The sequence below is a fragment of the Homo sapiens genome, chromosome 8 (genome assembly GCF_000001405.40).
Source record: "Homo sapiens chromosome 8, GRCh38.p14 Primary Assembly".
NCBI lineage: Eukaryota > Metazoa > Chordata > Mammalia > Primates > Hominidae > Homo > Homo sapiens.
Window position 1 is genome coordinate 107337817 of NC_000008.11, and position 22503 is coordinate 107360319.

A 22503-nucleotide genomic window follows, 5' to 3' on the forward strand; every position below is an offset into this window, starting at 1 on the left:
AGGTGTGGTGGCTCACACCTGTAATCCCAACCCTTTGGGAGGCTGTAGCAGGTGGCTTGCTTGAGCTCAGGAGTTCAAGGCCAGCCTGGGTAACACGGCAAAACCCCATCTCTACAAAAACATACAAAAATTAACTGGGCATGGTGGTTTGTGCCTGTAGTCCCAGCTACTCAGGAGGCTAAGGAAGGAGAATCACTTGGGCCTGGCAGGCAGAGTTTGCAGTGAGCCATAATTATGCCACTGCACTACAGCCTGGGTGACAGAGTGAGACCCTATCTCAAAAAATAAAATAAAATAAAAAACAAAATACACCAATAGACCCTGGGCTGGACTTGGGCTACAGGAATTTGCAGGAGTAGGGGATGTATTTGAAGGGAGCAAGGCAGGAACTAGGCTGAGGTGAGAGAGGCAAATGCCTCAGTTGCAAAACTTAAAGGGGTGCCAGAAATCTCAGTAATCAAGGTAAGTAATATTTTAATGTAACATTTTTAAAATTTTACAATTAATTCAAGAAATCCACATTTAACAGAATATCATTTAAAAATAAAGACAGGATCTGATTCTGCACATGTATGATTTGGTCTGATGTGGTCTCACTTGCCTCACCCTACAGTCCTAGCCCCGCAAGGGGTGGAACAGGAGGGTGAGGAGGGGATGGGGCAGAGAATGGTGAGATGGAGCATTTATACTCTAAAAAAGTTTAAACTGCTATGACTCATTTATACAGTCATTAGTAAGGATCTGAAAGCCCGTCTAAAATGTACTACTACTAATCATATTCATGTTTGTAAAGGGTTTCAGCGTTTTAAAAAACATTTTTTCTATTCTGTATTATTTCATTTCAAAACAAACAATTTGAAGGTAGAGTTTGGAGTAGCTCAGTGGGGATAAATGGTAGAGAATATAAATATTGGAGATGCACAAGATATAACTTTCAACTATTAAACATATTATTGTCCAAGTAAGATTTGTATTTGTTTATTGAGTGACAATTTATAAAATAATGAAATAGGGAATGAAACACTTGTATGTTTTGGTGACATTTAGAACAAAGCTTGGCACAGAGACAACACTCAATATTTGTTTATGGATACTCAGTATTTGCTTATGAGGTACATTGTCTCACTAAATCAAGCATATCATATGCAGTTAAATGAAATCTATTTTCTTTCTTATTCGCCGTACTCTCTGATCACAGTTCCTGACATTCTCAGACACCAAAAATTTTAATTTCCAAAAGACAGTAAGTATTCTCCTCCATGTCCATTGAGAACAAAATGGAACCATTTAAAATTGAAAACAAAGCTGCCCATATCTCAGTCTGGAGACCACTACAGTTCCCAGTTTGTCTTCCTTCTCCTACTTGCCCTACCTCAAGTCTATTTGTCACACAGCATCCAGAGGGATCTTTTTGAACACATAAATCAGATCATGCCATCTCCTTTGCAACATGCTAATGGCTTCCCTTTGCAATTAGAATGAATTCCAAAGCCCTCAGCCTGGTCTGAAAAGACCCACGTGATCAGAACCCTGTTCACTTCTTGTTTATTATGCTCCAACTACACAGTCTTCTTTCTGCCACATTGACTAGCCAAATTCATTCCAATCTTGGAAGATTTGCACTTGCAGTTTCCTCTGCTTGGCATGCCCACCCCTTCCTAGATGCATGGCTGATTTCTTCTCATCATCTTAGAGAGTCCCTTTCTGGCCACCTTCTTTATAGTAATACCTTCCTCACCCTCCATCACATCACCTTATTTAATTTTCTTTACAGAATTATCACTATTGAAAACTATCATATCTATTCACTCATTTGCTGTCTTTCTGCCCCTCCTAGAATGTCAGCTGCACAGAGGCAGGAAGGCTCATCTGGAGTCCTCTAAGCCTCCAGACCCCCTGGGGGCCTAGGACACTGCAGCGCTCATAGCTGAGTTAGATGACATTCTGGGCAATGGACAGTGAGCTGTCTTTCAGGCTTGAGTCATGGTCACAGAAAGGGTAACAGGGCCGACATGAATATCAAGTTAGAGGTCAGTGATGACAGTCTAAATCTAGAGCAGCATCTGAATATAGGAGAAGGAAGGAGTCCAATATCAGAAGTCCAGGCTAAATGCCGATCTAAAGATCAGGGCAGTTTAGAGCACAAATGCCAATCCCTCCTCTTCTTTCCCCATCACCTTGACCCCATTGCTGCTTTATTTCAACTCTCTCCACTGATGTATTAAACTAGGTCTGAAGCGGGCAACCAAGAGAATTGCATAGCAAACTATGATAAATTGACCACTTTCTTGCCATGCGACTATGGAATTCGCTGCTTAGCAATAGTTGAAGTGTTCCATTAAAATGACAAAAGACATTTCCTTCTTAGCCTAAACACATTCCAAAAGCACATCTTTGGGGAAAAAAAAAGAAAATTTTTAAATAAGAAGAAGGAAAAGGAGTAAAGCGTATGTGAAACATGCCCCTCAAGGAACAATTTCAAAGAATAAATTTTCCAAAATATACCTAAGAGTAAGAGAGACATAAAACCTGAAATTGAGGATTTACGGGCTACAAAATTTTAGTTCTTTTTTTTAAAAAAGTAAACATTTAAAAATGAAAATTATTAGTTTCCAAGAGAAAGTGAGCTGGAAAATTTCACCCAGCTCCCTTTAATATTTTCAAGAGTGCCTCTGATCCTTTAAATTAATATTAATGCTAAAAGTCAGAGATTGAGGTAGAAAGAAAATCTCTTTTTTTTAGAGACAGAGTCTCACTCTGTCACCCAGGCTGGAATGCAGTGGCATGACCACAGTCACTGCAGCCTCTTGGGCTCCGGTGAGGTGTGCCCAGCAATTGTTTGTATTTTTTTTTTTTTTGTAAAGACAGGGCTCTGCCATGTTGCCCAGGCTGGTCTCAAACTCCTGGGTTCAAGCAATCTGCCCACCTCAGCCTCCTAACGTGCTGGGATAACAGGTGTGAGCCAGCGTGCCTGGCCAAAAATCTCTTTCAACGACTCATTAACTTTGAAATAGGCCCTGTTTTTAGGGTTATGTTTCCTTTTGCTTTATTTTTTTTTCCAAAGAAAAATTTGTAACATAAAATATGATGCCTTGGCAATTAATTCTAACAGAAGAATTAAGGTTGATACATGCAGAGGGAATGAGAGAGTTAGAAAATCAGCATTTTGCAAAATGATTGAAGTAATTTACTTGGTTAATAATGGACAATGTGACCAAGTATTACCCTACAGGTTATCTGTTAATTTCCTAGGGAAAAATGAACTATCGAGATGCAGTGATATGGAGGTTATAACCCTAACCAAGTTAAAGAACAGCATAACTAAGGGAGTGGCAATCTGGCATATGTGTCTCCTGAAGAGATCCAATAGGAAGTGACCAGTAATTCCACAGAACACCTCTGCCACAATATTCCATTCAACCTAAACCAGTCTTTAGACTCAACTTCCAGTTTACAGAAACCATAGGGGATTGAAGGGTAAACTAAAGGTCATAATAAAGAAATATTCAGACAAATGCAGAACGTGAAATGATTGACAAAACAGCCCAGTTTCTTAAGAATGTCAATATCAGGGAAAAAAAGTAGAAGACTGCTCCAAATTTAAATGGACTATTAAATCTTGAAAAACAAAACTCCTATAAAAGTTTTAGTGGAAAAATGAGAAAATATGAATGTAGAAATTAGATAATCTTATGGAATTATTGTTCATCTTAGTTGTGATGTAATATATAATTAATATTATATAACTATTACATAATATTCTCTATTTATTTATATATAAATATATTTTATTTATAATGGTAATACCCTCATTATATATGTATATATTATAACATAATAATATAACCCTATATTATATTTATAATATAATAACCACTTCATTTGGTTACAGAATTTAATAGAGATAAGACTTATATTACAGACAGAGAACTGTGGGTAGAAATAACTCTCCCAATACAGCTAATGCTCAGTAGAGTCAGAATGCAACCCAGAGAGTCTATCTCCGGAGTCTGGGTTGTTTCCCACAGGCTTATCGAGTAGCTGTAAATAAGCAGCTTCCCTCTGGTTAGTGACACCCTCTAGTCACTAACAACTGCTACCAAAATGGCTTCTTTCAAGTCGCCATGAGGTGCTCTGCTTGTTGCAGCTGATGGCATCCAACTCTCTCTCCCTGCCCCTGCCCCCTAAATTAGCATCACGAGTAAGGAAGGAGTCCAAATTTCTTATGCTTCTCAGAGTACGGAAAAGAAAAACAAACAAACAAAAAAACCCAAAAAAACATTCACTCAGTGTTCTTAGTTGGGTCAGACATCTTTGCAGTAGACTGCTTCTGTTCAAAGTCCTCTTCTGACCCATCAGCTATTTGTGGGTACCTATTACAATCAACACACAAGCCTCAGCATATTGCCCTCAGGCTTGGTGACATTGGGCTGAAACCTGCAGAGATTAAGGGACTAAAACTTAGTCAATGTAATTATTTCACAAGTATTTATTGAGAGCCTATGCACCAGTCCTGTTCTAAATCCTGTCGATAGAGCAGTGAACAAGAACAAGACAGAAACATCCCTGCTTCTTAGGAATTTATATCCTAGTGCAGGAGTTGGTCAGATTTTTCTGTAAAGGCCCAGACAGTAAACATCTTAGGCTTGGTGGGCCAAATGGTCTCTTGTGTAACAATTTAGCTCCACCATTTTAGTGAAATAGCAGCCATAGACAACATATAAATGAATGAGTGCAGCTGTGTCCAATAAAACTTTATCTACAAAACAAGATGGCTGGTCAAATTTGACCTGTGGGCCATAGGCTGCTGAGCCCTATCCTAGTGGCTTATCAAACAATTTTCCTAAACCTTGTAAGAAAACTAATTACAGGATATTTTCCTTAGATGACCCACTAAAGAGTTTGTTTCATCATTTCAGTTAAAAGATTCATGCTCATTGAACAAACTGTTCCTGAACTGCCTAATACACACACACACACACACACACACACACACACACACACACACACACACAAGTGTATATATATATATATTTAAAGATAGGGTCTTGCTCTGTCAACCATGCTGGAGTGCAGTGGTGTGATCACAGCTCATTGTAACCTTGAACTTCCTAGGTTCAAGGGATCCTCCAGCCTTAGCTCCGTGAGTAACTAGGCTACAGGCACGCATTACCATGCCTGGCTTTTTTTTTTTTTTTTGTAGAGATAGGATCTTGCTATTTTGCCCAGGCTGGTGTCAAACTCCTGGGCTCAAGTCATTTTTCCACCTGGCTCTTCCCTAAAGTGCTGAGATTTTAGGTGCGGGCCACTCTACCTGGCTTGCCTTATATTTCTAATGAGTGCTATTGAGGTCCAAACGGCAGATGTAATCATTTGTGATGTCTGAAAAGATGATTAAATGGGATTAAACATGCAGGAAATATATTAGGGGAAATGCCCACGAGGAAAAATTGGGAGGAAGCCAGAGGAGGTTTGGAGAGGCTTCAGACCGGGATGGTCTAATTACAGGAAAGAGGAGAGGGAAGGAAGAAGAGTTGGGTGGAAGTCTTATCCCTCAAGGCAGCCGTGCAACAGTTCCAGCAAGGCTGATGAAGAGCCCCTAGCCAAAGTCATGTGTCAGTGGACTTCTACAGCTCCCAGGAGCAGGCCTACATATCCCTGCCACAATGAGTGGAAGTGACTGCTGGAAATTGTGGTCTCTGGACCAACACAGCAATGGATTTCAGAGCACAGCCATTGGTGAGCACTGGTCAATTATACTTCCGCAAGTAGGAGATTGGAAAGGTACATCTTTAAGGCCATGAGGAAGGGCTCCACAGATCATTAATTTGACTGAAAGTTAAGAAAGAAATGACTTAGAAGCATTTTGCCACATTAACTCAAACTCATGAAGGTAAAGACTGCTTTATTTGTTGCATTCTAATAGGACCTATTAAAACATCTTACATCAAGGAAGTACCCAAAGGCAGGAGTGGTTGCTCATGTCTGTAATCCAAGCACTTTGGGAGGCCAAGGCAGGTGAATTGCTTCAACCTAGGAGGTCGAGACCAGCCTGGGCAACATAGCAAGACCTGGTCTCTACAAAAAATAAGGAAGTTAGCTGAGCATGGTGGCACACACCTGTAGTCCCAGCTGCTCATGAGGCTGGAGTGGGAGGATCACCTGAGACCAGAAGGTTGAGGCTGCAGTGAGCCCTGATCAGCCACTGCACTCCAGCCTGGGTGACAGAGTGAGACCCTATCTCAAAACATAATAATAAAAGATAAGGAAATAAACATAGGATGGTATATCATCTACCTTATAGAATTCATTATTATTATTAAATAGCCAATATATGTAAAATTACTTAGAACTGAGGCAAGCATGGATTATTAGAGGCAAATTTTAAGGCAATTTGTTTGTCTGTTAGTTTCCCCAAAAACCAAATTTGCCTGAGAAAGAAGTGAGAAATAGAATGACACTATAGGAAGTGACATGAATAATTCCTCCTACAAACCCCTTCATATTGTACTCTTGGAAAGAGGAACTTGAAGGCCAAGAGATATTGGTACAAACTGATAACAGAGTGAGAAAAACACTGCAAGCCAGACTAAGGGGGAAGGAAAAGGCATGGTGGTGGTTTCTGATTCTTGCCACCATGGCCAGCAGAGTTATTCAGATGTGGTCATTACTGGTATCTTTCCTGATCATGACACTTTTTTGAGCACAAGAGGATCTTAAAATGCCATTGGCATGAACCTGTGGCTTTCTGCATTTTGTTAAGTCATAAATCTAGAAGGTCAGCAGAAGATTAGAAAGCAATAAGTTAATTATTTCATAACATCATCATGTGAAAGCTAGTGCATTAAAATATATTGGAAAGACATTGTCATGAGTTCCTGAAATAAACTGAGGACCTGAAGTCAGTTTTAGGAAAAGCAACACTTACCACTGTGAAGCCAAGTTAGATGAATATAGGAGGAAAACCATGAGAGCATGCCTGGATAGCACAGAAGGATCTACTGGTTTTATAAATGCTTATTATAAATGAATAGAGTGTATGGAGGTTAAGGAATAATTCAGGATTACTTTTGTAAACTTGGCTCTGAATCAGGATTTGAGTTCACTTGAGTGATTATGTCTAAGCAGAACATGTCCTGTTGCAATAGTTCAAATAAGTAGCACGAGGGTATACATTTACATATAACAGGTTCGAAGCATCACAGCTACAAATAGCATAAGCAATTGGAAGACATGAAAATGAAAGTGAAAAAAACACATAGGCGTCACTTCTTAAGGTAGGGCATAATTTGAGCCATTGTCATCCTTTTCTACTTCCCTCTCATTGCTACTTGTGATGGATTTGTGATTTTTGAAATGTTTTCTGGGTTTCAGCTATCTTAAAATTGTTCTCACTGTATCTAATAAACTTTCATTGGTCTTTGATAGTAAGTTTTGGCTGCTTCGTATAAGGAGTAGTTATTCTTTTTCATTGAATTTTCTGTACCATTTTCAATAAAGTACACATCTTCTGGCCTTAAGGATGCAGAACAATTTATCTCTCAATACCTTACATAGCACGCATCTTAACAGTTTGGAGATTAACGTGCTAACAATGGGACATTTTTTTTTCCCACAACTCCAACTGCTAGGTAGACAGAGATTAAAAAACAACCCAAGACACAGTGTTTTAGGGGATAAAAAAATTAAACAAGACTCTGCCATGTGTTCCAGAAAAGTTATTGTAATAGAAACTTATACAAATTTCAAATATGCAATTAAGTAGGATATATTGTGTATTTGTTTTTGAACATGTGAGAGTATTTTGTAGGAGAGGGTGAGCATTCTGTTCTAATAAAATAAAATAAATAATACAGTCACATTATTTATACCACAAGAAACCAATGTGCATATATTATCAAACTTACTGTGACAATGAATGATTAGATAAAGTCTTGTAATTTTCAGGGACAATATGTAGTTCCGTCCATCTCCCATGTTCATCTGATGTTGATGGGCAGCAAAAAGTATTTTCCAAAGCTAATGTGAATCACTGCCCCAATGTAATCAATACTTAAGTTCTTATTCAATTAGTTAATTATTAGTGTTACTAATCAAGGGAGATAGAAAAGAAATGAGTACCCCAGAGTTTGAATCCCAGATTTTATAAACTAGCTGCATGAATGTGAGAAATCACTCAAGCTAGTGATTTCTAGCTAAAAGATCTATCTATCTGCTCTAAGTGATTTTCATAAAAACCATGTGTGCACGGGAAGTTATGTTATATAGGTTTTATCTGTATCAGTCATCATTGCTATTTTTCTTTAAATACCAATCTACCTGTGATGCCAGTATCGCAAATGAAAGAAAATAGAAATCATGTTGCACCTTATTTTTGAACATATATATTTCAGCTTTCATGTCAGAAATCAACTACATTGGGATAGAATCATCCCTTGGGTTTCAGAATGGTAACTGGAATAATGATTTTCATGGCTAAAAGGGAACCAAGAGACAATTAAAAATGACAGTCATCAAAATGATAGTCATCAAAAATGATATTTGCTATTTGCCAGTAAACTATGATGGGGTGTTTGTGACAATGGTGATCAAAGGATATCCCTAGTTTTTACTCGTTGGTACTCAAATAAGTACATCATTGGCCCTAATAGGTAGATATATGTATATACACACATATTCCTCATAACTTCATTTGAGATTGTCCTTTCTATCTGCTGAATGCACAAACCGTCTGCAGGTGCCCTTATGGCTGCAGCATTACCAGAGACAAAACAAAACAGGTCAAAAATGCACAACAAAGACACCAATCTGACTCAAATGGTTACTTTGTTTGACACATATCATATCACAGTTGGTAGCTGCAGTGCTTATTTGAATTTAAACATTGATGAGGTCCTTTGCTAGCTCTGTTTTGGCAAACATATGCAAAGCTAAATATACCAACCCTCATTAGATCAAAAAAAACACGCATAGCATGTCAGGCAGTCATTGTTGTTATTACCAATAAACAAAAATGTATGTTTCCCTAATCACAGTGCTGAAATGTGCTCTGTGTTTATGGAGAAAGCTAAAGAAAAAAAAAATTTTTCCTTGTTGAGTCTGTGGACTCTGGCCCTGGGGTGTACCTGGGTCTCAACATCTGTCAGCTTTCTGGTCTGCTCTGCAGTCTGAGAGAGGAGGCTGGTTCCTATCTCCAGCATGGTAGCCGTGTGGTTCTGAACTGCATTCTGCTGTATCTGGGCCATCTCCGACTTCATGTTTTCCACAATGTAATTCTCAAGCTGCAAGAGATAAAGAACAAAACATATTACATTATAAGCAAGGCCTCCCAGTTCGGGCATGTAATATTTACAATAACAAAACAAGACACCGCTGGCAAATCAGCCATCTGGCGGGGATCCTCTACATCTCTGGGAGTTGGAGAAATGGGAGCAGAGCACACAGGAATCCAGTTGTCAACAAATTCCTAATATACTGATACATATATTTATAATCATCACAATCATAATGACAATTTGCACTTGGATCACACTTTCCCATTGTTGACATTATCCATTTAGCCTTTATAGCAAAGATGTATCACAGTCAGCTTTATTGTTTTGTTTATTTTATAGATGAAAAAATAGAATCAGAGAGGCCAGTGATAAACCCAAGGTTGACCAGCAAGAATGCAGCCAAATTCACATACTAATTTAAATCTAATTCTTGGTGCTCTGATTTTTCCGTTACACCATACTGACCACTTATCTCAGAAAAATTCAGCCTCCTGCTTCCATTTTTGTAACGATAAATAAAATATCACACTGCTTTGGGGAAATGGGATGAGGAGTGGGAGGAAGGATGATGTCCAAAACAAAAACCTTTAAAGGAATATTAAAATATAGGCAATGATATATGAAATGAGCTGCAAAGCCTGAGAGCTAGCTGTAATCATTCTCCATGCTCCTTTGCAAGCTCAAAAATAGGTACTGAAAGTACAACCCATATAGCAGTATTTACTCCTCTTGCTTTGGGTAATATTTAGTCCTTTATGGTGCCATCTTAGAGAACAGTATAGTGCTAAAATAAATGGTGCCATAGGGACCATGGAGAATCATTAAGTGACTTACTGCAAGGGGTCCTATTAGGTACCTGGGAAAATAAAGCTGAACATATGCATTGTTTGAAAAATACAAGGAAACCTGCACCTCCCTGTCAGTGCATTTAATTCCTCCACCACTGTGTGGTGACTACATTTTATTACTCTACTACACATATAGGGAAATTGCATCCCAGAGAAATCAGGTCCAAGGCCACACACCACAAAATCAGCCAGACTTGGACTTGAGCACTGAAGTCCTTAACTCTCATACCAACACTTTCAACCACTTGATAGCTATGACAAGTCGTGCTTCACAAGCCGGGTTCCAAATCATTAACAGCTATGTGATTTTTACTGATTTAGTGAACCATAATACATCCACTATTTCATAATCCATAGTAAAATTATTATCATGTAATAAATATAGTCTAAATGTAAATTCCCCTTTGTAAAGCTTTGGCAGCTCACTTGCTAACATCATCCCTTGCTTATTTCTATTTATCAAGAACAAATCTGTCCCATGCTAACAAAAATGGTTTTCAATCAAACTCTTATTATTATTAATACATTCTAAATTCATTCTTGGCCAATATAAGATAATTCCCCTTCATTCATTTTTCCCCCAAATTAGACATAGGAGGGAAAAAAATTCAACCTATAAAAGTTTATTATAAAACAAATACAAAATATATTATAATAAATCTCTGAAAATTATCAAAATGTAAGGCCTGTAGGCCAAATCTTGACTTTATTCCAATTGAACTAACATATTTAAACAACAAGAGGCAGGTAGAGAAAAAGAGGGTAGGACAGAGTAATAAAAATTTGTCATTTTGGATTCCACATCCTATGTTCCCTTTTTCCTAATAGCATTCTTTAACTTTCTTTTGGGAAGTTATCGTTTTGCCCTTCGGAACAAATGCTTCAGGTAGAGTTGTCCCAGCCTAGCATCACAAATGAGTACAGGTTCTAACTTGTCAAGCCAGAATGTTCTGCTCCTGCTTCATAGGTGTGAATTGTTCAAGAATGGAAAGACATCACAAGCAAGGCCATTAGCCTCAGTTCTCAAATTTTATCAAACTCATTTATAAAATAACTTTGTTTTCCTCTGTGGTTAATAAGCTGGTGACATATGCCCAATACAGTTGATGCCCGATTTTGCCACCACAAAACCAGAGTCAGCCCAAAAATGAAGCTGACTCAGACAGATGTTAGATAAGGAGATTAGATAGATAGATAGATAGATAGATAGATAGATAGATAGATAGATCTATGTACATACATAGACACTTGGATGCATAGATAGACACAGAGTCAGGTGATTCCTTTTGAGCACCTGGACCTAGCTATATTTTTAGCTAGTTCCACCCTTGGACATTCAGTTGTAAGTTGCATGATCTAACAGTCTCCCATTGAGCAGCCAACCTTTTTTCCCCTTCAATCACATTGATTTAGATTTTTAACACTTACAACCAAGATTTTGGATTGTTACTTTTGATCAATGTTTAGCAGAAGAAATTTCAGGGAGGAAAACGTTAAGAGAATATTCCTTACTTTTCCAGGGAATTTGAGGTTATACATGAGTGTAAGTTTCTTAAAAAATTACAGATAAGTCTCCATTATAAAGATAATAGCTATCATTTATAGCTGACAGTTATCATTGCCTACTATGCAACAGGCACAGAGCTACGTGTTTTCCTTTTATAATCACACTTAAACTTCACAATTATATATGTTATAGCTGCTTTATAGATGAGACTATTGAGGCTCAGAAACCCCCAAACAACTTGCTCAAGAACAAACAAGGATTCAACCCACAGCTCCAAAACCCATGTTGTTAACCTCTAACCTATTTAGCCTAGCACTGATTTGTTATGCTATGCATTTTATTATATAGCTCTTAAAGCTTGAGTGTTCATCAAAACTACATGGGGAGAATTTTAAAATGCAGATGGAGGTAAAACACACCAGAAATCTTTAAGGGCATGTACTGGGAAACTGTATATTTTATAAAGCTTCCCAGTGTAATTCTTATTCAGGTAAAGAATCAGTGCATCTCAAAGTGTGGTCCATAGAACAACTGCCTGTATGAGACCTGCTTGTGAACAGTCAGCCATGAAATGAGGAGTTTGCACCAGGATGTAAATTATCTAGGTCACTAAGCACACTGTTTAGTTCATTCACTTGATGTATATATATACAAACACACATGCAAAACTTTCTCATTGAAGAAAGTGATGCTCTAGTTTATATTCTGGTGCAAACTTCTTACCATGTTTCCTAAATGACAGCAATGTCATTGAGTAATACTCATTTAAACCATCAAATTTACTTTGAAATATCAGATTCCCTGCTTATCAAGAAATCTGTCTTTCTATGCAAATTTTCCTCCTGAGAGAGTTCACTAATCAGTGAGCTCCAATACAAGATCTGCTTGATAATTGTACATCAATTTCTTATGCAGTTGGTTAGCAGTAGTCTGTTCCCAGAGTTTGATTTGCTCCAGGTGTAATAACAATCATGTACCCTAGTCTTCACAGGGAGGACACCCTCAGCATAGGTGGCTACATCAAGGTTCAGTGTCTTTGTATCAGCTGTTGACCATTCTGTACTATTGTGCTTTTTTTAATTATAAAAGTTAACACCAGCAAAGCAAAATAACTATTTCATGCTAGCATTCATCACAACCATAAAGTGCCTCTCAGTTCTGCTGACCCTGTTGTAGATATAAAGTAAGTCTCCAACCTACACTAAAATGCTCATTTAGGCTGCTATGATGAGTAGCATGAATATAGCTCTAGTTAATTATTTTTTAATCAAATGGGGCTGCTTTCTCCAGGAGTAACTGCCTTTTAATGCAAAATCTAATGCCACACTTAAGTAGCAAGAACCAGATGTAGTTGATTTAAAGGCTGGAGCAGGAGGCAGAAGTCAAATATACAATGTGTGATTAATAAGGAGGACTGCTTTCATCTTATCTCTAAACATTCCTCTGTAGATGTATAACTGTGAAATCCATCTTGATGTGCCATAGCAGCCAGGTTCAGAAAAGATTTGTAACAAATTTGATTGTCTTCATATATTCCCTACTGGTTTTAAAATATGTTTACAGAAAATGACAGCCACCTCAAGGTTCAATATTTTATAAACATCTAAGATGTGAATTTTAAGCCTAGAAGTTGCTGACCACAAGAGCTAATGAGTTATAATGTAGGAGTCTCTCAACCTGAATAATAAAATTATTTGACTATACTGCCATGCCAGAGTTTTATAAGTTATTGACCAAAATGCTAGGAAGAGAATGTGATTTGAAATGAAATGACAAACAATAAATGATTACTTTCAAGCAAAAAAAAGTTGCATTTGTTAAGTGATTTAATATTTGCATAGCTTTTGTACACATTGTCTGACTTCATCCTTATACCAAACTTGCAAGGAGAGAACTGATTCCATTTTATAGTTAGAAATCCGAGGCCTTCAGTGACTTCATAGAAATCAAAGAAAAGCCAGACATCAAAGAAAAATCTCAACTCTATCTTCTGATGTTCTACTAGCCTCAGAGTTGCGGGAAGTGTTCTGTTATTGGACTGGTTGGCTGGATGATTAGTTGACTGATAATTTCAATTTTAGTCAGCTATTGCATATTCATTATTATAATATATTATAACATACACAATATATTATAATATTTATAATATTTATTCCTTTGAGAAAAACATGCATCACTAGAGGGGGATTACTTTCACTTGGTTTCACTATAGTGGAGACCAAGTTAATTTGAGGTGGGATGAGAAGCCCTAGGGCCAGGTATGTGGAAAGTTTATTTGCCAGTACTTTTAATAGAATGGAATCATTAAAGTCCTCTCATTAGTTCTTACCTTTTTTTCTTAGTAACATAAGTTTATTTTGTCTGCTCATTCTATTTTCTTGCCAACCATTGTAAAATACAACAAAGGGAATAACAATAATACACAAAGCCTCTACAAAGGCTAGATATGTACCAGCTTTTACAAATACGCAGTTCATTGAATCTTTAGAACAATCCAGGTACTGTAAGTATTATTTTCCTTATTTCACTGATGTCTAAACAGAGGCTCAGGGAAGTTAAGTAAACTGTCTAAGATCATACAGTGGGTTTTTGGCAGAGCTGGTATGTTGCTTTGAGGCTAGATTGACCAGTAGCTTGTGCTCCATTCTGAAGGAATGTCACTCATCAAACACAAGCATATTGTTACCAATGTTAAAAACAAATTCTGATAACATACAATATTCATGCACAAAATATGTAAAAATGAAAGCTACAGAAATGATGAGGTGAAACTTGTTCAAAGATTGACCATTTTTTAATTTATACATTTGCATATTGATTGATGGCTGTAATATCTTAGGAAATGTTACCCATGGTGAGAAGGCAAATATCCAGTCAACTGTATGAAAAGTCTTAGTATTAAGTAGGCAAAGAAAACATATTTTTAAGAAGGTAATATAATCAGCCATTTGTAGTTCTATCATAAATCACATGCCCCTGTCTTTTGCCCAATGACCAGGGGAGAACTGATGCTATCATTCTCCATCATGAGAGAGAATTTTGGGAGAGCTTTTACTAGACTCTCAAAACCCTTGCGGGCTTCAGTTTCATGAGAACCAAAATCTGTGTGAGATTATGACATGTCTTGTATGTGAAATGCATTCTGTATCATTTCACTTGAAGAAACCACTTCAAGGGGTCTCTTAAACCAGAGCATATCTTAAAGCACAAATAATACAATTTCTCCATGTAATTCTTAAGAAAGTAACATTTTAAACCCTATAAAAATTGACAAAGGCATTGTTCACTTAAAATATGGTGCAGATTAAATGGACCTTCATTGGATGTTGGTGCATATGGCATTACTCAGTTATGACAAAACAACCATGAAATAAAGCAAAAGGGTAAATATGGGAAAGCAATAAAAAGGTAAAACAATGCAAAAAATGCCTTAAATGTTGATGGTTTTATCTAATCTCATTGTTCCATAAATCAATGGCAATATTTAAAATGCAACTATATCTAGGTTTATGGCCTTATTAAAAAAAAAGACAGCTGAAGCCAAATATATTATTTTCAGGGATTTCTATTATTAGATCTCCCAATATACTATTTCTTTTATGAAATGGAGAAATATAATTGTCTTTTTAGACAATAGATCTATTTAGCTAACATTTAAAATGGTTTCTGTGTGGATATACATGCCATGGATCCCATTTCTCATTTTGATATCTGAAAGAATATTTACTATTTATGGAAGAAAGAAAACCATTAGTACAAGAGAGCTGAAAGAGACATTAAATATTATGAGCTCCAAGGATCTTGTTTTATAGATGTGGTGACTGAGGTTCAGAGAGGTTATAGAAAGCAAGGTGAAACAGCTAATCAATGTCAGATGTCAGGTCATGGCCCCTCTGTGTGTGGGAAACCCAGGCTCACATCACTAGGCTGAGCCAACAACAATGGCTGTCGGTACCTTAGACCCACCCCACATTTCTTTCCCAATTCCCTGGTTCCTGCTACTTGCTTTGCCTTTGCTGATTCCTGATTTGGATCTCCCCTTTCGCCAACTCATGCTCCATCCATTTCAGGGGTCTTGACTTTCTTTGCTGGACTCTGTTCTTGCTTCCTACCATTGATACCCATCAGCTGCCCCCTGGTCATTGAGCCTCAGCAACCCCTTGATTTTTTTTCTTCAGATGCATCACCTCACACATGGCAAAAAACAGAACCAAATTCTAAAATTAGTTCAGGCTTATCACCCCCTGTGTCAGTTCAGTTTAGTCTTAGCATATATGTGGTAAGTGTGTGCTGTGTACTAAGCCTGGTGCCAAATGCTACAGGTACAAAGAGTTGAGTCTAGCAGGAAATAGAAACACGTGAATGAGTCATTTCAATAGAATTGGTGAATGGGGTCTGCCTCTGACTATGTTTCTTTCTGTAAATATTCTTTCTGCTTGATAGGGAGATGCTCTCAGATACTGATACTAATAATGTGAGTGGATGTTTGTTACTCAGCCTCCAAAGGAATAGTAGCAACATCCCACTGAGGCATATATAGAAGCTATCAAGGGCAACCCAGAAAATCCCATAGGAACAAATTCTCCTGCCATTGCTTTTTTTGGTAATGATTCTTGTGGGACCACATTCTTGTGGCTGCTGAAAGTTGCCAAAGTCATTTACATTGCCCCTAGAGTTGGGCCAGGACCCAGGAAAGTCATTCTCTCTTTGCATAAGCGAATGTCTCCTGTGCCAAAACACATTTTACTAACCTGGCACCTCTCTTCTACACCTACCTTCTCACACTAGTAAAATGTCAGAGTCATGGAACCTCAAGCATATTTGCACGTCTGCTTAATTTTTTCCTTTACCTTTTTTTAAAAGGCACATGGCATATAGAAAGCACATTCAGCCAGGAGTCAGGATATCTGGATTTTAATCCAGGTACTATCATTGATATACTCCATGAATTTGGAGAAATCACTTAAACACTTTGGGTTTAAGTTCTTCATCTATGAAATAAAGGGCTGGATTCGATCATTTCTAATGACTCATGAAGCTCTCAAACTCCTTGATTTAAAACTTCCTTTATAAAGTACAAGAGTCTATAAGGTTTGAATATTAATTTATTATAGAAAATTGAAATCTGAATGTATATATCTATAAAATATAACATACATATCCTTAATGGCAGTAAAGAAACAATGATACTAGAAACAATAGCAAAGCCCTGGACTGGATCATGTCTCCATAGCAGGCACATCTGTTTTAAGATAAAGAGCTAGAATCTCTGAATCGCTTAATCCCCAGGCACCATTCTGTCCCAAATATATTCCTTGTCTTTCTCCAACACGACTTGGCTTTCTGTCTTTAATTTTTATCACAGTGAACGGCACCATTACCACCTATCTGTTCATCCAAGCCACAGAGAATCACCTTGATTAGTCTTTTCCTTCTTTTTCTACATTAAATCCACACCAGATGGTGTTGCTTTTTTTTTTTTTTTTGAGAGGGAGTCTCTGTCACCCAGGCTGGAGTGCAGTGGGGCAATCTCAGCTCGCTGCAACCTTCGCCTCTCGGGTTCAAGTGGTTTCCTGCCTCGGCCTCCCAAGTATCCAGGCACATGCCACCACGCCTAGCTAATTTTTGTTTTTTTAGTAGAGACAGGGTTTTGCCATGTTGGCCAGGCTGGTCTCGAAGTCCTGACCTCAGGTGATCTACCCACCTGAGCCTCTCAAAGTGCTGGGATTATAGGCGTGAGCCACTGTGCCTCGCCCTCTGCTGTCTCTTGAAGGCTGCCTAGGTCCATCCCTCTCCCGCTTCCCTCTCTCCCTACCAATATCACTTTATTCTCACAGTCACTGACTAAGGTCAGACTCTCATCAGTTTTCTTCTGGATTTGTTAATGGCCCCATAACTGGTCTCCTGACTCCAGACTTGCCTCCTCCAATCCATCATCCATGCCATAGCCAGTGGGATCAATCTAAAGCACAGATTTGGCTTTGTCATGTCACTGTTCAAACTCTTTCAGTAGCTTCTACTACCTGCAGATAATGTCACAACACTGTATTCGTCATAGATGATTCTTAACAATCTGGACCCCGACCCTCCCACCCTACATGTACTTTATGCTCCAGACATACCAAATGACCACAGTATTTTCATTTCACTAAGCAAACACTCTTTTTGACTCATGTCTTTGCATATGACTTTGCTCCAACTGGAATGCTTCTTTTCACATTTATTCTCCCTTTTCTTGGGCTAGGTCCTATTTTTCAAAACTCAGTTCAAGCTTTTCCTCCTCTAGGAAGCCTCTCATCAATCTTCTCTCTGTAATACCCTTCTTTTCTATTTCTAGAGCACCTGTACCTCTGTTTTTCATAATAGCCTTATTCACCACCCTTCCTTTCTACTTCTGGAGCACACTGTGCCTCTGTTTTTCATAATAGCTTTGCTCACCATCCCAGTATAAGTTCCTTAAGCACAAGCACTACCTGGTTCAACTTGGTACCACTTCCTTTCACTGCCTGGCACATAGTGGGGTCTCAATACCATTTTGATAAATAATTTAATGCATAAATGAATTTGTGTATGAAAATACTGAGTCTCCCATTGTGAGCTTAGCTTAGTTCCATTTGTTTCTCTAAGTAAGAAATATCATATTAGCAATTATCAATGATCCCCTTTTGAATGGCAAAGGAACCAGCATTAATGATGTACATAGCTCTGAAAACAAATATCCTCACTTTGTGGACCACATAAACCCATCTTGTCTTACTATGTCTTTCTACTTTGCTATTCCCAAACATCTCGACTATGAGTCATTGTTTAAATCAAGTAAAATCCATGAAACACATTGAAAACTAACCATGTCTTAATCATTGCTTCATACATAAAAGCAAAAGAAGTAAAACTTAATGCTGTTCATTGAGACTGCTTATAACATAAGCATGCTACAAATGCTGGACTGAAGGTATCAATGTCCTGCTTGCCTTCCTGCCTGCCTGATGGGTAGAATAAAGAAAGGAACAAATCCTCTCAACGAGAGAATCTAATAAGTCTTTCCAGAGGCAGTCCCAAAGGAATATAGAAGGGAGGGCATACATTTCTTTTGTCTCCTTTAATATAAAAAAAAATAGCCTTATGGCAATGACACTGCATTCCAGCCTAGGCAACAGAGTTAGAGCTTATATCTGAAAAAATACAGCCTGGAAAAATTGAGGGCTAGGGGATAAGAAAGGACTCTGGGAAGACTTTGAGAGCATGCAAGGAGCTGTGCTTGCTTAGGCAAGATGACTCTCCTGCTTACCTCCTGAAATGTGCTTCTTGGGAAATCAAGAAATAAATCAGTCAGAAGCAACAGCATACCATTAATGCCATACCACACACATGCGGCAAGGGCACAGCATCAGAGTTTTAATATGGGATTCAGGTAGAAGGCAAAGACAGATAATTTCTGTGCACTTTACCATATTTTCAGACATAGTAAGCATAAGATTTACCCATTTAATAACATATATAAGAACATATGTTGTATGTACGTATATACAAACATACACACAAATACATTTGCACAATTATGCTCTTGTACACACATATATTTCCCTATTCCCAACCTACATGTGTCCAGTTCTACATTCATGCTTTGTAGTTATGTTCATTTCATTGCAGTTTATTTTCTTAAAGATCCATTTAAAATAGCCAACGCATCACTCACCTTTGAATGAGGTGTATTTGATGTAAAATTTAATCACTTCAGAAAATGCCCATTAATCTGTCATGGACAGCTCCAGTATTCTGCCTAACAACACAGAAATCTTTTTCCCAAATTCTAAAATTATACTTAGATGACAGAAGAATGGAAGAATTAAAAAGCAACTTGGTATGCATTGTTTTTATAACAATAAAAGGGATCTTTTTTTAACTAAACAAGATACTGTTTCAAACAAAATTGCAAACATGTCTCCCTTTACTGTAATGCTTTTTAGTTTCTTGCTTATCTGAAATGCAATTTAACCCCCTGCATGCTACACAAAATACATTCTGTTTCACTTAAAAAGAGAAAGATTTGACATTTGAACTACAGACCACCCCAGCAGCTAGTAGATTGGGGGGATTGATGGGGTAAAAGGCTCTCCACCAGATAATTCTTCTAAGAAACATTTTCTGCAAACCACACTTACTTCTCCTCTGACAAATGGCAGCGATGCAAACACATAGCTTATAATGATGATCTTTTAAAAGAAATCTTCTGCATTCAATGAAACATTACAGGACAGATCATGAAATTTAAATACCCAGCAGATGATATAAGATACTCAAGAACAGAAGTTTGAAAGCCTTAACAATTAAGGGATTTGTCGATTTTTCAGGAATACCATGACTAGGTAGAAAATTGTCATCATTTTACTCTGGTATTTTGTATGAAATTGGAAGGTATTAACACTTAAAATCAAATCTCTTTCAATAAAATCCTTCACTGTTCAACACTCTGACTTTTTAGGCTGTTATTACCTTTTCATTTATGCTACATCTTTTCTTGCTTACAATGAAGTTGCTTTGTTGGTTGTCTTTCTCTTCTGAAATATCTTGTTTATGGGTTTTTAAAATTAATTTTCTTTCATCTGCTTAAATAAAGTAAAATAAATGATAAAAGTGTGTGCATATATATGTGTATGCGTGTGTTTTCTCCCACAATATGAGATTACTCAATGGAACATATAGTAAGTTTGTACAGGCATAAAACTGTCAATGTCATTGTATAATAAACATTCCAAAGCATTATGTGTGAGGTCCAACTAATTTTTTTCTGAATAATATTTGTTGAGTAGTTCTTATTTAAATTACCCTTGGTCCAAGTACTGGAAGAATTATTAGGACAGAAAAAGTCATTCAAAGCATAAGAAAGGAATAATGATTGCTGACATCTTATAAATGCAATAAAATCCCTATTTTTTTTTTTCTCCCTTTGATCAAAGGACTAGAGACAGTGGGCATTGTTTCATCTTTCACAAAGGCCATTTTGGTGCCCTGGTGATGCTTGTTACATCCCAAGTGCTATTGGATGAGAGACCAAATTAGCATTACAATGAACTGGCTTCTCTGAGAATTAACCATACACCACAAGAGAATGAAACGAAGCATGAGTAACTGCAAAAATACCTGCTCTTGTGACTACACATATTGCCAGAGGAATTTTGTAAAAGTCAGTTTTAAAGACTCATTAATCTAGTTTTGGCAGCTGTAGATCACCTCCCGGTGTTCCTCCTGATTTAGTCCCCATCCCCAACAAGCTGGGAGAACTGGATACTTTATATATTCATTAACTGAAAGAAGCCTGGGCTAATTTATTGGAAAGTCTAAATCCTGGGTTCTTATGATCATGAAATGTGGATAATAGAGACCAGAAAGCTGCCATACCTACTTAACAGACATCACACTTTGACATATTTATTTTGGATGTTTTCATTTTTAGTAAGAAATAAATTACTACATATAAAATCAAGGTCCCACAATCAGAATATAACCTTTATTCTGAAGTTGATGTGGGCTTTTTCTCCATAGGTTTATATTCAAAATAATATACTGTCTGGTACACTTTCATGATGTACAAAAATGTTACCTTATTGCATGATTTCTTCATTCTCTTATTTTTAAATCAATATTATGTTTTTGAGACTTAGATATATTAACAGTATTGTTTTACTGTAATTACAGGACTGAGTTAGACTTAGTAATTCTAACTGCTAATAAAACATTCTCATATCCCAACGCCTGACTTACTCCGAAGAGAGGAGTACAATGTCTTTCAGATTCCTGTTACCCTGAGTTCTAGCTCAGACACAAGAAGGAACAAATTGTTTCTCAGACTCTCACAAAGCCCCCAGGGTCTCTTCTCTAAGGATGTGAAGGAAAGCTGTGTAATGAATCTTCCCCTATTTAAATACTATATCTCAAGAATCTGAATGAATAATTTTTATATTTGGCAAATAGTTATTTCCCAGAGAGAGCAATTAGGGGGTTGAGAAAGAAAGGAAACATGTTACCAGAACTAAAAATTGATTCTATAGTTATTCTCAAACATAAATTACTACATTGAGTTTAAAATAACCATTACCACAATTATAAAGACAGCTCCCCCAACTTCCTAGCAGCATTCCATTGAATAGACAAGATAGTCTTGATTTTAAAGTGCAAAGTGGCTTCAGTATACTAGCTTTCCATGGCTTACAAACAAACAAAAACCATTTCTGTTCAGCATAATACACAGTACACAAAATGATATATTTAGCATGTTCTCAATTATGGTAAGTATATTCAGACACAAATTTGTATGCATTTGAAAAAGAAAAGAAACACTGAACTGTTAATAGTGACGATCTCTGGCTGACGGGAATACAGGTGAATTTTATTTTCTTCTTGAAATGGTTTGGTTGGTTTTCTCCTTTCTTTAGAAAATGAGAATTCAATTTTATACCCAGAAATAAAATAAAGAACTAGAGAAAGAAAGAAATGTGCTTGGAATGCATTCATTCTTAGTAGGAAACTTACAAACATCTGGCAAAGTTTAGTGGTGGCCTGGTTGGAGAAATTCTGGAAAACTCTGCTGCCCTCCATAGACATTCCCCACTGGCTCAGCCAGTTTTCCTCGTCTAGTCTTACTCCCTACCTGCCACCCCTAATTCTCTGGTTTCATAAGAAGTCAAGAAAACAAACAAATAAGAAGAAATAAACAAAAGAGCCAAAACAGCCGCAAGTAGGTCTTTACCAAGGGGAAAGTGCTGTGTGCAAAGCCTGTAACAATCGTCTTTGTTTTTTGAATACTTCTTGTGGATCAGCCAATGAGGTAAGGTCTTGAGGTTCTTCCTTTAATTATTTCTCACAGCAGCCCTTT

General features: G+C 37.3%; 1 protein-coding gene across 3 annotated transcripts in view; it reads right to left on the bottom strand.

Moving 5' to 3' along the window:
- The window catches only part of ANGPT1 (angiopoietin 1), a 248437-nt gene that overhangs the window by 88335 nt on the left and 137599 nt on the right, over positions 1–22503 (bottom strand). For all 3 annotated transcript variants that reach the window (NM_001199859.3, NM_001146.5, XM_047421699.1), the window contains exon 2: positions 9126–9281. In NM_001199859.3, coding sequence (NP_001186788.1) covers positions 9126–9281 — 156 coding nt within the window. The remainder of the gene's footprint in view (positions 1–9125; positions 9282–22503) is intronic.